The sequence below is a fragment of the Homo sapiens genome, chromosome 15, assembly GCF_000001405.40.
Source record: "Homo sapiens chromosome 15, GRCh38.p14 Primary Assembly".
Taxonomy (NCBI): Eukaryota; Metazoa; Chordata; class Mammalia; order Primates; family Hominidae; genus Homo; species Homo sapiens.
Genome location: NC_000015.10, coordinates 52695103 through 52712172, shown reverse-complemented (window position 1 = coordinate 52712172; position 17070 = coordinate 52695103). Strand labels below are relative to the sequence as shown.

General features: G+C 38.9%; 1 protein-coding gene across 6 annotated transcripts in view; it reads left to right on the top strand.

Annotated features, from left to right (window-relative positions):
- The first annotated feature begins 2357 nt into the window (after window positions 1-2357).
- The window catches only part of ATOSA (atos homolog A), a 128495-nt gene continuing 113782 nt past the window's right edge, over window positions 2358-17070 (top strand). For all 6 annotated transcript variants that reach the window (NR_169533.1, NM_001385021.1, XM_047432861.1 and 3 more), the window contains exon 1: window positions 2358-2447. The gene's annotated coding sequence lies outside the window, so the exon portion shown is untranslated. The remainder of the gene's footprint in view (window positions 2448-17070) is intronic.

Sequence of the window (17070 nt, the reverse complement as noted above, 5' to 3'; positions counted from 1 at the left end):
ACCCAGACATCACAGAGCAGACTCAAGCTGTACCCTCTCTAACCTGTCAGAATTCCTAACCCACAGAACCTTTGAACAGAGTAAAATGATTATTTTATGCCCTTAAGTTTTGGAGTGGTTTGTTAGGCAGCAATAATAACTAAACAACCAGCAAAGGGTAAAATTTGCCCTTTTGGTTGCAGTGAGCTGAGTTCGCACCACTGTACTCTAGCCTAGGTGACAGAGTGAGACCTGTCTTTAAAAAAAAAAAAAATTGCTCCTGTTGAGGAAATTCAAAAGAATGTTCCCCAAAAGTTTTATTTTATGAATCTTTAGGATTTGAGAGTGATAATACTAGAATCTTAGACCTCTGTGTATTAAAGTTTTCTGGGTTGGTACCCTAGTTACCAGCATTTTAACATCTGAATTTTTCCAGGAGATACAGGACCTGAATAATACTTCATTATTTTAGCGAAAAATTTCCAGGTATTTCAGAATCCTAAAACTCTCAGGATGTCAAAAACAATGTCTAAAAGCAAGGTCCACAAAATCAAATGCCTTCAGGGGCCAGGCAGGTAATAAAAATGAGTCAAGTAGAGATTTGGGGTCCTGGAGGAAACTGGAGGATTCCAACAAGATTATTGAAGTGAATTCTCCCAGAGGGAAATGACCTGGTCTCAATTCTCCTCTGAATCATTAAAAGAAGCCCCATTGGCCTATTACATGCCTAGCCTCATGGCAGATCTCTTTTACAAGCTCCAAAAAACTCTGAGAGCCCTAGGACATCCCTAGAATTTGTATTCTTTGAACGTTGAAAAGAGGATTCAAAGGTTATTCTCCAGTGAAACACAATGGGCCTGATAAATATGCTGGTGCTACAGGGCAGTCTTGATTATACCCCTCTGCAGAAAGTGAGTCTGAGAGCTATGAATGGGGACTTTGCTTCATGGGATCCCATCATGTTTCCAGGAATAAAATCCCTTCATCAATTCATAGGCGTGGCTCAGATTCCTAAGAATTCTAGGCTCTATGACTGGGTGCTCACCCCCTACTAACACTTCTGGTATATGCATTCATTTCAATCTGTGAACAAACATGTGGTTTCTTCTTTGTTTATTTCTTTTAAAACATAATTTCAATTGATTATTAATGTAATGGTCCTCTTCCCTTTAGATGAGAAGCCTCCTTGGGGGAGCTCTTGCTTGTCTTGTTGTATCTCCAGGACTCAGTCAGTGCCTGGCACACACCAAGTATGCAATAACATTTAGTCAGTGAATGAATGGTGTCCATTCATTTAGTCACTACACACACAGGAAACACCTACTATGTTTCAGGTACTGATTCTAGAAGTGTGGATAATGTCATGAGCAATACAGACCCAACTCATGGCACTTACAATTTAGTGGAGAGAGGGTAATGGAGACCAAGTAAATAAAAACACTCAATAATTTCAGGTAGTGTTAATAGCTATGAAGAAAACCAAACTGTGTACTGTGATAGAGGGGAGAGTCAGGGGAAACCTTAGAAGGACTGTGACCCTGTGAGCTGAATGAGAAGGAGCCAGATATTTAAGTAAAGAAGCAGGGAGGGAAGTGAGACAAATGTTCCAGTAGCAGGAATAGCCAGTGCAAAGGCCCTGAGGCAGATCTCATTTGGCTTATTTAAGCTATATGACACATCAAGAAGACAGTGTGCCAGGAGCATAATGAAAGAGGGTCACATGGTAGGGGAGGAAGCTGAGAGGTTGGCAGAGACAGAGCAGGGAGGGCCTTGTAGCGAGGAAAGAGACTGGATTCCAGGAGGTGCACAGCAGCAGACTGTAGTAAGAGTCCAAGGAGCTGGTAGGCCCCAGCCTATGTTTCAGGGACCTAAAATCACATAAATACACAAACAACAGGAACAGAAACTTGACTGCTTACAGCTGCCTTCTTCCAGGTGCTAACTCTCACACCCACCCACCAGGCCTTAAAACTTTGGGACACCTGACCTTCCTCTGCCTTCCTTTGGGATCAGCTGCCAGCAATACAGCCCAGCAGGGACTGGTCAGCATCTCACTTGCTCTAGACATTTGTGGTTCTGAGTTCTTGCAGGTCAGAGATCAACTCATCAACACAAATGTCAGGGTATTAGGTTCAACATAATTATAACCATAAAAAAGCATACTGAGAGGAATCAGCCTGCAGTATTGGGAACTAGGCCTTAACAGCAAGATGACTTTGAGTTAGCCAGGCTCCAACAGTCTAAGGCCTGCCTCCTTCAACAAGCCTGGGCTCCCTGATGGGCAAGTCTCTCTAATTAGCTTGCCTCAGGGCTCCTCCCTCCCCCAGACTCCGCCCTCTACCTTGCTCTATTTACAGTAGGCACAGCGAACAGAGTCTACTGCTGCTGCCGCTGCCTGTAGACTTTCAGATCATCTCCCTCTTCTGTGTCAGGGAATGCTCCTGGCTGGTGCGGACACAACCCAATAGGTATGTGTCCAGAGAAAAGGGGGAGTGGGAAGGGGTGATGGCACTAAGGAGATAAGAGATGGGAAGTGATGTGTGGTGACGAGTGAGGAGGGCAAAGGGGCTAGCAAGTGCAGGGGGTGGGAGAGCGATCTGGAGTATTCAAGGGGCATGAAGTGGAAGCTGCGTGCAGTCTTGGGAACATACAAGTGAAAGGGACTTGTATGCATTTTACGTTAAAAGGTCAGTGTGAAAAATACTCTGCACCTTGTAGTTTTTAAACCAGTAGTGTGGTCCTTTAAGAGAGATGGTAGAATTAGAGCTTTGGGGTAAAGTTCAGCAGATATGAGAAACATTTATGTAAACTTCTCATTCAGCAGTAAGCACTCTACTACATTAAAGCCAATGATTTTGCAATGATAGGTGACAGCAAAAGCCAATGATTTTGCAATGATAGGTGACATGCAGGTTAATAAACATTAGGAAAGAGGCTCTGGGCCAGTTTCCACGACAAATGTAAAACTTCAAAATGATCAATCGTGGGTTTTGGGAGGTGAAAAGGAATGTACCCATCTTCTAATAAAGAGGGGGCAAAACTGACCCACTTGCCTGGATGTGCTTTGTTTGGTCTGCCTAGGTTCATCTTTCTTTTTTGTTTTCTTTCTTTTTTCTGTTTTTTAACACGAAGACTTGCAGACAGGGAGTACTCTCCCATACTCTCCATGGGTCCAGTCCTTACCACCCCTTCATCATTCACCTCTACATCAGCCAGCTTCTCTGAATTGTGTTACCTGACTGGGCTCTGGAGGCATTTGGGTTTGTGATTTCCGGTTAAGTCAGAAACTTCATCCTACCAGTGAGGAAGAGAGATGATTCCCACAGTGTGCTAGTAAAGCAACTAGCAATAAACCTTATCCTACCAGGGAGGAAGGGAGGTAGCCTCCACAATATGTTAGTAAAACAATTAGCTATCTGTAAACAACTGGATAATATTATGAGTGACTTAAGCGTTTTGGTAAGAAGCTCTGAGGAGAATTTGTTTTTGACCAACTGGAACAGAAAAAAAAAAAGTACCCAATTTTAAAGGGATGCTGGGTTATTTATTTTCCCAGTGTGGTTTAGCAGAAACTATTTCTTCAGTCCCAACAGTTTTGCAAGGTAGATTTTACAAATGCAGCTATTCTCACTTTTCAGATTGAAAAACAAGGCAATAGAGAGTGCCTTAATTCAGTAATCATACCTTGATTCAAAAACCACCCCCCACACCTTGAACTCCATTATAAAGTCAGTCTGATAAGCAAATGCATCTTCATAAATCACACAAGCAGGAGAGTTTGTGTCCTGCAGTTTAATCACGATGATCCCATCAAGCATTTAGGTGCCCTAGGAATCCTAGGGTTGGGAGTGGGAATCCAGAAGCAGCCTTGACACTGGGGCTAGATCCAAAAGTGCTTTTGGAACCTGAAGGAAAGTCCCTCTCCTCTTCTGCCTCCGTTTTCTGCTGTGAGAGAGGAGAGTGGCTCTGGAAGGAGTAAGCTGTCTGGTTGTGGAATCAGTCTCCCAAGATGCTGAAAGTGTGGTTGAACCCAGCCTTGCCCAACCTCCTTCCCTTCATTTTGTTCATTTTTCATTTTGTCCTATTTACTACAGTTCTAATTTAATATTCAGTGCAGTTTTCCCCGGGTAACTTTACTCTCCTTTCCTGAAGTCCCGGAAAACCATCTCCAAGCCTCCTGAGGTTTCAGCCTCTGGTAATAAGGTTTCTATGACAGGAATGGTGTGGATTTGAGACTGGGATTTTCCTGGCTATCCAAAGCAAAATGGCATTCAGGGGCTCACGTAGGAAAGGCAAATGAATTTAACAATACCATTTTGTATCTTTGAGCATTTCTCATTCTTACAAACATACTTTTATTAAACTTTTGCTTTATCATACTCTCTCCCTCTCTCTTCTTCCTTCTCTCCCCTTTTCCACGATTTGACTTTTTTTCTGAATCATTCGGGAGTATGTGGCAAATATCATGTTCCTTCAGTGTATATTTTCTAAGACCAAGGATATTCTTTCATGTAACCACAAAATAGTAAATTTCAGAAATTTAATATTGATCTATTATTTTTATCTAACCTACTGTCTATATTTCAATTTCACTTGTCCGAACAGTAATACTTTTCTCCCACCAACATAGGATTGAATCATGCCTCTTTCACTTCCTTTAATCTGGAATAATTCCTCAGTCTGTCTTTGTCTTTTATGGCAATGACATTTTTGAAGAATGTAGGCCGATCATTTTATGTTCTTGACGGGTTTATCTGCTGTGCATCCCCAGCTGGATTTTTTCATAGGTGATTTTGTGCCCTTCTCAGAATATCATTTCTGGAGACGTGTGATATCTGTCTCTATTGAGTGGTGTTAATTTTAATTATCTATTTGCTGCCTATTTTTTCCACTGTGTATTTACTACTTGTTCCTTTGCAATCAATAAACAATTTGCGGAAAGACAATGAGACCGTGTAAATACCCTGCTCCGCATCAAACATTTCCCCCTAGATTTAGCATCCATTCTTGGTTCAAACCAATGTTTACCATGATGGTTGTAAAATGGTAACTTTCCAATTATATCACCGCTGCCTCTACATTGATCAAATGACATTCTGTTATAAGGAAGTCTTTACCGCCATTTGTTTACAGTTTTATTAATATATTTCACACACCATACAACTCCCCCTTTCAAAATGTGCAACTCAGTGGTTTTTAGTATAGTCAGAGTTGTATAGCCATCACCACAATCAATTTTAGGACATTTCAGCACCCCAGAAAGAAACCCCATACCTGCTAGCAGTCATCCCCCATTTCCCCCAGCCCTAGGGAAACACTAGTCTACTTTCTCTCTCTACAGATTTGCGTATTCTGAATATCTTATATCAGTGGAATCAAACAATGTGTGATCTGGCTTCTTGTACTTGGCATGATGTTTTCGATTTCATCCATTTTGTGGCATGCATCAATACATCGCTCCCTTTTATTGCTAAATTATTCTCTGTATAGACTTATGAATTCCTATTTTTAGTCAGTGAGTTATAATCATTATTGTCCTTATTTATTTGGATGCTCAACTTTCCCGGATTTGGGTCTTTCAAGCTGGTTTTTGTTTCCTTTTGACATGTCCCTATCACTTTTTTGGAACATTTTCTTTTTGTTGTTTGTTCTTATAAGACAGCCTGTCTGATGAACATTTTTGTCTCCCTCCTTTCTAGTGAAAACCTTAGTTCCCAACAACATCATTGCATTCATTTGCCCAGTCCTGCAATACATATTAAATAATTTCTGAATTGCTAAAGCCATGCCACTATGGAAAGCTCATCTACTAACCAGAGTAAAAGATTTGTTTGTAGTTCTTTTCTCCATAGACTGAGGCTAGTCAAGATCCTGTGTTCACAAATTGGTTGGATTAGTTCTTTCTCCCCCTTCATTGTGGTTTTATTACTCATTTGAGAGAACATTGCGTTCACTGGTTCATTTGTTTGTATTGTTATAGTTCTCACTCCATCTTGCCTTAGTTTTATTTTTTAATATGTAGAACATTAATATCCTTCCAAAAGTGAAAACTAATAAGGTATGTATACTCACAGAAGTGTAATTCCCTGACCTATCTCCCCTAACCCATTCCTTTTGCATGCCTTGAAAGTAACCAATTTCTTTTTTGTTTGTTTGTTTCACAGCAGTTTAATATGTAATATTGAAAAACTGGAAATGACCCAAATGTACATCAGAGAGTAGGTAAATAAATTATGGTATATTAATACAATGGAATACCACACAGAAACAAAAACTTCTACTGTACATAACTGATCTTATAAATCATAAATAATATAGAGTAAAAAGAATCATATAACAATTATATTTTACTCAACTTATACAAAATTCAGAAACAGACAAAACTAATCTATGGTGATGGAAATGAGAATAGTGATTACTTGGGAGTGAGATGGTGGGGCTGGGGGTGTTGGTGCTATTGACATTAAAGATAAGAGAGCCCTGTTCTGGTGCTGGGAATCTATGTATTGATCTGAGTGGTGATTACTTGTGTATATACTTAAGAATTCACTGAACTGTATGCTTATTTATCTTTTGCAGTGTACCTGTTATACCTCATTTACAAATTAAATTGATGTAATGCTGCAATATGTACTTTCAACCACAAAGTTTTTTTTTTCTCTTCTTTCTGGGAAATTTCTTTTTATATTATTATGCTTTAAGTTCTAGGGTACATGTGCACAACGTGCAGGTTTGTTACATAGGTATACATGTGCCATGTTGGTTTGCTGCACCCATCAACTCGTCATTTACATTAGGTATTTCTCCTAAAGCTATCCCTCCCCCAGCCCCCCACTCCCCAACAGGCCCCAGTGTGTGATGTTCCCCTGCCTGTGTCCATGTGTTCTCATTGTTCAACTCCCACTTATGAGTGAGAACATGCGGTGTTTGGTTTTCTGTCCTCGTGATAGTTTGCTGAGAATGATGGTTTCCAGCTTCATCCATGTCCCTGCAAAAGGACATGAACTCATCCTTTTTTATGGCTGCATAGTATTCCATGGTGTATATGTGCCATATTTTCTTTATCCAGTCTATTATTGATGGACATTTGGGTTGGTTCCAAGTCTTTGCTATTGTGAATAGTGCCGCAATAAACATATGTGTGCATGTGTCTTTAAAGTAGCATGACTTACAATCCTTTGGGTATATACCCAGTAATGGGATTGCTGGGTCAAATGGTATTTCTAGTTCTAGATCCTTGAGGAATTGCCACACTGTCTTCCACAATGGTTGAATTAATTTACACTCCCACCAACAGTGTAAAAGTGTTCCTATTTCTCCACATCCTCTCCAGGGTCTGTTGTTTCCTGACTTTTTAATGATCGCCATTCTAACTGGCGTGAGATGGCATCTCACTGTGGTTTTGATTTGCATTTCTCTGAGGACCAGTGATGACCATTTTTTCATATGTCTGTTGGCTGCATAAATGTCTTCTTTTGAGAACTGTCTGTTCATATCTTTTGCCCACTTTTTGATGGGGTTTTTTGTTTTTTTCTTGTAAATTTGTTTAAGTTCTTTGTAGATTCTGGATATTAGCCCTTTGTCAGATGGATAGATTGCCAAAATTTTCTCTCATTCTGTAGGTTGTCTGCTTACTCTGATGATAGTTTCTTTTGCTGTGCAGAAGCTCGTTAGTTTAATTAGATCCCATTTGTCTATTTTGGGTTTTGTTGCCATTGCTTTTGGTGTTTTAGTCGTTAAGCCTTTGCCCATGCCTATGTCCTGAATGGTATTGCCTAGGTTTTCTTCTAGGGTTTTTATGGTTTTAGGTCTTACATTTAAGTCTTTAATCCATCTTGAGTTAATTTTTGTATAAGGTGTAAGGAAGTGATCCAGTTTCAGCTTTCTACATATGGCTAGCTAGTTTTCCCAGTGCCATTTATTAAATAAGGAATCCTCTCCCCAATGCTTGTTTTTCTCAGGTTTGTCAAAGATCAGATAGTTGTAGATGTGTGGTATTATTTCAGAGCCTCTGTTCTGTTCCATTGGTCTATATCTCTGTTTTGGTACCAGTACCATGCTGTTTTGGTTAAAGGTAACCAATTTCTTTATTTTCTGATATGTCCTTCCTATTTTTCTTTTTGTGCAAAGTAATGAATCTATGTATGTTTTCTTTCTTCCTTATTTCCTATAAAAAGGTAGTATATACTATAGATATTCTTTTGCTTTTTGCCTTTTTTCTCTTAATAGTATATCCTGGAAGTCACACCAAACTAGTTCAGAGACATTCCCGCCCCCAATTTTTACACAGCGATATAGTACTCTATTGTGTGTATGTGCCACATTTAATTTTTTTCTTTCTTGTTTTAAAAAATTATACTTTAAGTTCTAGGGTACATGTACACAACGTGAAGGTTTGTTACATAGTTATACATGTGCCATGTTGGTTTGCTGCACCCATCAACTCGTCATTTACATTAGGTATTTCTCCTAATGCTATCCCTCCCCTAGCCCCCCACCCCCTAACAGGCCCCGGTGTGTGTACCACATTTTATTAAACTAATCTCCTATACTGCAATGAATAACCTTGTGCATATGTATTTTCAGATGTTTGGAGGTATATCTTTACTAGATTTCTAGGAGTAAAATTGCTGGTTGATGGTTAAGCAACCATCAGGTAGTTTTGTTAGGTATAGCAAATTCCCTTCATATGGGTTGGGTTTCTCCACAGCCTTGCTAACAGAATGCACCATTTTGTCAAACTGATGGGCAAGAAATAGTATCTTAGGGTAATTTAATTTGTAATTTGCTTATTATGAATGAAATTGATCTTTTAAAGACCATTTTTGTGAGCTTTATTGAAGTATAGTTGAAATCCTATAAACTATATAAAATTTAATCAGTATAAAACATTTCTATCACCCCTAAAATTTTCCTGTGTCTCTTTTAAATAAATTCCTCCCTCTACCCCTGTGCCCAAGGAAACACTGATTTGCTTTTTGTTATTTTGGATTAGTTTGCAGTTTCTAAATTTGCATATAAAAATCGAACCATGTGTACTCTTTTATCTGGTTTCTTTCAGCATAGTGATTCTGAGATTCACCCACATTGTTATGTGTATCAGACCCTGTTTGTTTTTATCGCTGAATAGTATTCTATTGTGTGGATATACTACATTTTGTTTATCTGTTTACCTGATAATTGACATTTAGGCTGTTTCTAGTTTGAGACTATTGCAAATAAAGTTACTATGAAAATTTGTGTACAAGTCGTTGTGTGGACATGTGTTTTTGTTTCCCTTGGGTAAGTATCTGACAGAATGGCTTATTATGGGTGAAACTGAGCATTTTAAATGCTCATTCAGTGTCATTTTTATATCTTTTGTGATTATCCATTCACGTATTTTGCCCATTTTCCTTTTTTTTTTTTTTTTTTGGAAACACTTTTTTTTTCAACTTTTAGACTCAGGGGATACATGTACAGGTTTGTTACCTGGGTATACTGCATGATACTGAGGTGTGGGGTACAGTTGATCCTGTCATCCAGGTACTGAGCATAGTATCCAAATAGTTACTTTTTCAACTCTTGTCCTCCTCCCTCCCTGCCCCCAGTAGTTCCCAGTTTCTACTGCTGTCATCTCTATGTCCATGAGTACCCAATCTTTGGCTCCCACTTATAAGTGAGAACATGTTGTATTTGGTTTTCTGTTCCTGCAATTATTTACTTAGGATAATGGCCTCCAGCTGCATCCATGTTGCTGCAAAGGACGTGATTTTGTTTTCTTTTTATGGTTGTGTGGTATTCCATGGTGTATATGTACCACATTTTCTTTATCCAGCTCACTTGTTGGGCACCTAGGTTAAGTCTGTATCTTTGCTATTGTGAATAGTGCCATGATGAACATGTGAGTGCATGTGTCTTTTTGGTAGGAAGATTTTTCATCTGGATATATACCTGATAAGGGGATTTCTGGGTTGAATGGTAGTTCTAAGTTCTTTGATAAATCTCCAAAGTGCTTTCCACAGTGGCTGAACTAATTTGCATTCCCACCAACAGTGTGTAAGTGTTCCTTTTTCTCTGCAGCCTTGCCAGCATCTGTTGTTTTTTGACTTTTTTATAGCCATTCGGACTGGTATGAAATGGTATCCCATACAAAATCTTGTGATTTTGACTTGCATTTCTCTGATTAGTGATGTGGAGCATTTTTTCATGTGTTTGTTATTTGCCCATTTTTCTGTAAGATTTTTTGTCTTCTCTTTTTTAAAATTTATTTTTTTAGTTGAGATGGGGTCTTGCTATGTTGCCCAGACTACTCTTAAACTCCTGGCCTCAAGTGATCCTCCCACCTTGGCCCTGGTCTTCTCTATTTTCAAAGCTCTTTCTGTATTAGGAACATTATATCTTTATCTTAAAATGTTACAGATATTTTCCCCCAATTTCTCATTTGTATGTTAATTTTACTTAAAGTGTTTTAATGCACAATTTTAGATTCTTATGATGGCAAATGTATTGTTCTTAATAGTATCTGAATTTTGAATCGTAGTTAGGAATCCTTATGCCCACATTATGGAGAAATTTGCCTGTTTTCTTCTATTAGTATAATTTTGCTTTTCACATTTAGATTTCTGATCATTTGAAGTTTACTGTGTGTGTTGTGAAGAAAGGATCTAATTTATCCTTTCTAAATGGCTAACCAGTTGTACTGAAATCTCAAAAGTTTATTTTTGTACTAGTGATTGAAGAAATCACCTCTATGATTTACATATATATATACTGGAGACAGGGTCTCATTCTGTTGCCCATGCTGGAGTGCAGTGGCACCATTATGGCTCATTGCAACCTCAAACTCCTGGGCTCAAGTGATTCTCCAGCCTCAGCTTCCCAAGTAGCTGGGATTACAGGCTCAGACCACCATGCCTGGTTAATGTTATACTTTGTAGAGACAGGGCTCAAGCTATCCTCCCACCTTGGCCTCCTGAAGTGCTTGGATTACAAGGCATGAGCCACCAGGCCTGGCCATATGCCATATTTCTATATGTTCTTTTTCTATTCTATTTCATTTGTTGGTCTACTTCATGTTTTAGTACAACCTTGTTTTAAGTATAGAGGCTTTGTTGTATATTTTAATTATGTGATAGGAATAGTCTCTCTCCCCTTCCCCTCAACTAATCTTCCTTTTCACATTTTCCAGCTATTCTTGTATGTTTGTTTCTCTACATTAACTTTATCAACCTGTCTAGCTCCAGAAAAAACAGCTTGTTAGTATTTTTATTGAGATCATGTTAAATTTATAAGTTAACTTAGGGGGAACTGACATTTTGATGACTAGGTATTCTAACCAAGAACAAGGGATATCTTTCCATTTGTTAAAGTCTTCTTTTGTTAAATATATGTTGAGGTAAATATATTCAAAAACTGAATCAGAAATTACTTCCACGAGAGAGGTAAAAAACAAGGAGTTTATTTTGCTTGCTTTCCAATAAAGGAAAGCAACAACTTAAAAACAATAATAACATACTGCTTAATTATCTTTAATTGTGCTGAGGAATTACAGACATCTTGGTCTGCAGCATTCAAGTTTGCTAGATAGCACTTCCTTAAGTGTTCTCTAGATAAATATGAAGGGTAGTTGCTTCTAGGTATAAAAAGCCTCGTCACAATAAGGCTTTTTTTGAAGTGGTCTTGGATCCTGTTGAGAACCTGAAAGCTATGTTTTGAAGTGGTCTTGGATCCTGTTGAGAACCTGAAAGCTATGGACTCTTTCCCTCAAAATACATAAGCTTACAACATTTTTCACAGGGGAGGAGAGGGGGCAGAGACCCCCCTGAAGCCAATACTTAGATACTAGTTTTGAACTCCTACACTGTGGGTTATATATTACAGTCTTACAAACCTAGAGAGGGGTAGGCAATAAGTGGGTTTAGGAACTTTACACGTGGACAATAATACATATTATTCATGCCTCCCTATTTCTTTTGAGGGGTTTATAATCTAAATTTATTGACAAGCAAATTTTAATTTGGTATGTAAAGTCTCACCAAGAAGATCATAGAGTTGTTCCTGTAAAGAAAAGAAATGTAGTAGAAAAGAGAATAAGCATCTACCTTCTTCCTCCACTGATGGTCAATCTTTTCAGTTAATTTCATGTTAACAATCTAAACTTTAGATTCGAAAAATTTATACATTGAAAATAAAGTAGTTCATGGCATACCCACACATATTCTGAGCATTAAGGAAAAACAAGCTGTGTTTTAGGATGCCCCATGTCTAGTGATTAATCTTCAGGTTTGGAAATCTCACTTTAGAGCTGAAAATTCTAAGAAACAAAGGCAAGAAGGCAGAAGACTGAATTGCTGCTGATGCCACTAGTATCCTTCAGATTTCCTCAAACACTAAATCCGAATGCTACAGTAAGGCATGGTGATCCTCTGCAGGTTAACCTGGGCACACTCCCACTTGATATCATATTCTGAGTACTTGCACAGGATGCCCGCTGGGGAGATAAGGCTGGAGGGGGCAATACTGTGGACAGATTATAAAAGGCCCTGTTTACCACCACAGAGTTTAGATTCTCTGAGACAAAAGGAACCACTCAAGTGGAATGGCATGATAAGATCTGTTTTTTTTTAATGAGTTACTCTGTTGGAGAGTGAAACGGGAGGGTGAAGAGGCCTTACTGAGGCAAGAAGACTTACTCTGTACCAGAACAAAAATAAAGGCCTTAAAAATCTCCAAATCCTTTTAATCCTATCTTGTGCACAAGATAGGATTAAAAGGATTTGGAGATTGGACCAGGAGGAGGACCCATCAAGGATGACCATATATACTTTACAAGGATGTGGGAATGTTGGAACTTGGAGCCCTTTCTTTCTAGCCAAATATTCTCCCTCAAGGACATTTTTCCATCTCCTGCCTGACTGAAACAGGAATAAAATGTTCTTCGGTCCCAACTGCCACCACTGTGAAGGCACAGACAAGAAAGCAGAGAGTAAGTAGACAGTAAACAAAACAGGTACTGATGGTTAGGAGGCTAACCTTGTCATGGTGCTAGGTGATTTCTGAGCCATTAGTGGCTTAACCTAGGTTTTTACTTGTCCGAGGCTGGGGCAAGCTGATGCTAGTACTGTGCATTTATGCAGTGCTTTTATTTCCAGTATCTGTACTTCTATTTTCATTCTCCATTTTATTCGTCCAGTAATAACTTTCTTTTTTTCACTGAGTCAACTGGCAGTATATTCTGGACTATATTAAAACCATTTTCCAAAGTTTTGCCATGGCTCGAGTTTCCAAAATCACCACCACTTCAGCAGATTTGGCCAAGTTTATTTATTTGTTTAGTGAGTAACAACATACAAATACTAAAATGAAGACAGTACAGTAATCTTCAGTGTGTAGCTTGAATTTTTACTTATGTATACATCTGTATAACCACACTCTAGATAAAATTATACAACATTTTCTGTACCGCATGCAATTCTCTTGTGTACTTTTCAGTCTGTGCCTTGAAAGGTTAATCACTATTCTGACTTCTATAAACATCTTTTAGTTGTGCTTGTTCTTAAACTTTGTATAAATGAGTCACATACTAGAATTTGTTTGTGTCTGACTTCTTTCAGTCAACATAGTATCTCTATGTGATTTCTCCAACTTGTTGGAGCTGATTATTTTTTAATGTGCAATATTCCATTATGTAAATCTATTACAATTTATTTGAGCATTTGGATTGTTTCATCTTTTGGATATTATGAACAAAGCTGCTATGAATATAATGTACAAATGAGAGAACATAGCACTAATTTCTTTTAAGTATAAAGAATGGAATTGCTGGATCATAAAGCAGATGCAGGTTATCTCTAGCAGAAACTCAGTGGTTTTTCAAAACAATTGTATCATTGTGCATGTTCCCCCAGCCACAAATAAGAATTCTACATCCTTGGAACAGGCGTGGTGGCTCATGCCTGTAATCCCAGCACTTTGGGAGGCCGAGGCGGGCAGATCATGAGGTCAGGAGATCAAGACCATCCTGGCTCACACAGTGAAGCCCCATCTCTACTAAAAATAGAAAAGAAAATTAGCCAGGCATGGTGGCACGCGCCTGTAGTCCCAGCTACTCGGGAGGCTGAGGCAGGAGAATCACTTGAATCCGGGAGGTGGAGGTTGCAGTAAGCCGAGACCTTGCCACAGCACTTCAGCCTGGGTGACACAGCCAGACTCTGTCTCACAAAAAAAAAAAAAAAAAAAAAAAAAAAAAAAAAAATTCTACATCCCTGAAAATACTTAGGATTGTCAGTCTTTTAAATTGGAGCCTTTCTGGGGTGGTAGTAGTGGTTTCTTGTGATTTTTAATTTGTGTTCCCCTGACGAGTCATATAAAGCCCCCGTGAGCTTTATTTCATAATTTTGACCACTTGGATATCTATCTTTTCAAGTTTCTGTTCAAGTCTTTGCCCAATTTTTTATTGGGCTGGTTGTCTTTTTCTTAATAACTTGAAGAAATCTTTTTTTTTTAATGGTAGTTCCAAATTGTTTGTTAGATATATGTATTGCAAGTATCTTCTAGTCTGGTTTGCAAACATTTATTTATGAGCAAATGTAACATTATGTTCTTAACCTAAAGGTTATAAGAAAACTGGGGAAAAAATTCTAAGGTAAATTTTGTCATATTCTTACGCATTAAAGAAGTGAGTCATGTTTCAGATAAATTATTTTTAAAAGTATTTAGTTCATTTCAACTAGCCATTTATGAAGCATCTGTTCACATCTTCTAAGGATTCCAAGATATGTAAGATAGGTTCTTCCATGAGGTGTTACTGTGGAGAAAGAGAGGCAAGCGGGCAACCAAGACTGCTGTAAGATGTGAAAAGCAGTGTATAACATGCTACAGAAGCAAGGATGAGGGAGAAACTCATTTGGCCTGAGAAGGCAGTATTGGAAGAAGGGAAGTCTTTGAAGATGAAGCAAGAGTTTCCATGGTTGTGCAGGCTTTGCAGGAAAAGGGAACATAAGAAACAAATGCCCAGAGGAATGAAAGGGCCATAAGCCGAGGAGCAGCAGGGGTCTGTGGTGGTCAGAACATAGGATAGGAGAAAGAAGGAATGACTTGTAATAAAGCAGAAAAAGTTAGCCAAGTGAAGATGGGAGAACCTTGTCAGCATTGTTAGAACTTCAGATTTTTATCCTGTATGCTAGCCAGACACCTCAGGATTTTCAAATTATGGAAGTAATAAGATCAGGTCTGAATAGATTAAATATGATTAGAACATGGGTTTTTAATCTTTTCTGGCCTTGAACCCCTTTGGCTATCTGATAAAGCCCATGAATCCCCCAGAATATAATTTATATTAGGTTAAATATTATATATTTAATCTTTATATAAATTAAAATACATAGGAATTAAAAGGAATCCAATAATGTTGAAATACAAAATAGTTCTTAATTGTGATATTTGCTCCATTATTAGCACATTTAAAAAAATCTAGTGGTAGGTCTAATATAATTTCAAAGTGGTAATGCATATAAATGATACCTTGAGACATGTGTCAACTTTAATTATGCTATGAAAATATCTAATTTCTGTTGGTGACAGTCACTGGTACTGCAGCTTGTTGCTTATGTTTATAAGCATAAAGGAAATGCTAAATTTCAGTTAGATGTAAATGAAAATCAAAGCAAACTTTTCCAGAATTCACTAGGTCACAGACCCAGTGAATTCTATGCGTATATCCCAAGCTAGGACCCTCTGTAATGAGAAGGGTACCCCAGCTGATAGGATAGACTGGAAGAAGGGGTAAGTGAAAGGCAGGGAGGCCAATTAGGAGGCTGTTTCAATGATCCAGATAAGCCTGAATGGAGGCTGTTGTGGTTGGGTAGAGGGCAGTGGCTGGTATTTGGAAATAGAATCCAGGTGTGTATATTGCAGGGTGTGTAGGGGAATGGGTGGGGAAGTGGGAGAGAGGAATGGCTAGAGGAGTTCACTGAGGTTTCTAGCTTCGGTAAGACAGAGGATGGCAGACCAAGCCACACTAGCTCTTACCTGGGTTGCAGGAATAGCCTACCATTAGTTAGTTTCCATGTGTCTCCCCTTGCCCCACTATCACCTAATTTCAACAGAGCAGTCAGAGTGAACGTTTTAAACATAAATAAGACCACGTAATGTCTCTGCTCAAAGCCCTGCAATGACCAGTCCTTATGATAGTCCCTAAAACCCCATGTAATCTAGGCCTCTATCCCCTCTCCAGCCTCATTTTCTACTGTCTCCCGACCCACATTCATTGAGTTGCAGCTGCAACTGCTCTTCACAAGCATATAAGGGAATGCTCCTGCCTTGAGCCTTTGTGCTGACTGTCCCTTGGCCTGGAACAGTCTTCCTCTAGGTAGCCACATGCTAACTCCCTTAACTCCTTCATGTCTTTGTTCTCAAACCTCTTCAAGTCTTTTCTCCCTTAACCTCCTTCCAATGACGCCTACCCTGACAACCTTATCTGGAAATGCCTCTCCCCAAATCCCACTTATTCTGCTCAATTTTTTCCTACCTCTTATATCTCATACCATTTATTCATTTATTGTCCCTGTCAGTCCACATGGCAAATATGAGTCCCTGCACACTCATAGGTGCACGAGGACAAGATTCTTTTTGTTCACTGTTCCAAACGTCGACAACAGTGACTGGTGCAAAGTAGATGCTCAATAGATATTGTAAGAATGAATAGGGAGGATCTTAATCACAAAGGAAGAAAAGGCGGGAGAGAAGTAGAAGCTCTCAAGGAAGAAAGAGAATGTTGTTGATTTAATATTGATTTGGAAGGATCTGTGAGTCATCCTGTAGATGTAGACAGCTGGGTAGCCTGCAGGGCAGGAAAGGATGGTTTATGCTAGAAATGTAGATTTGGAAGCTGATTGGCACAAGGGAGACAGATAAAGCGCAGACTTGTTCAGAGAGTACTTTAGCCTGAGCAATTTGGTGGCAAAACTAATGTTTAAAAAGTAGTCAGGGCCAGGCATGGTGGCTCACATCTGTAATCCCAGCACTTTAGGAGACCAAGGTAGGCAGATTGCTTGAGACCAGGAGTTCAAGACCAGCCTGGCCAATGCTGTGAAACCCCAACTCTACTAA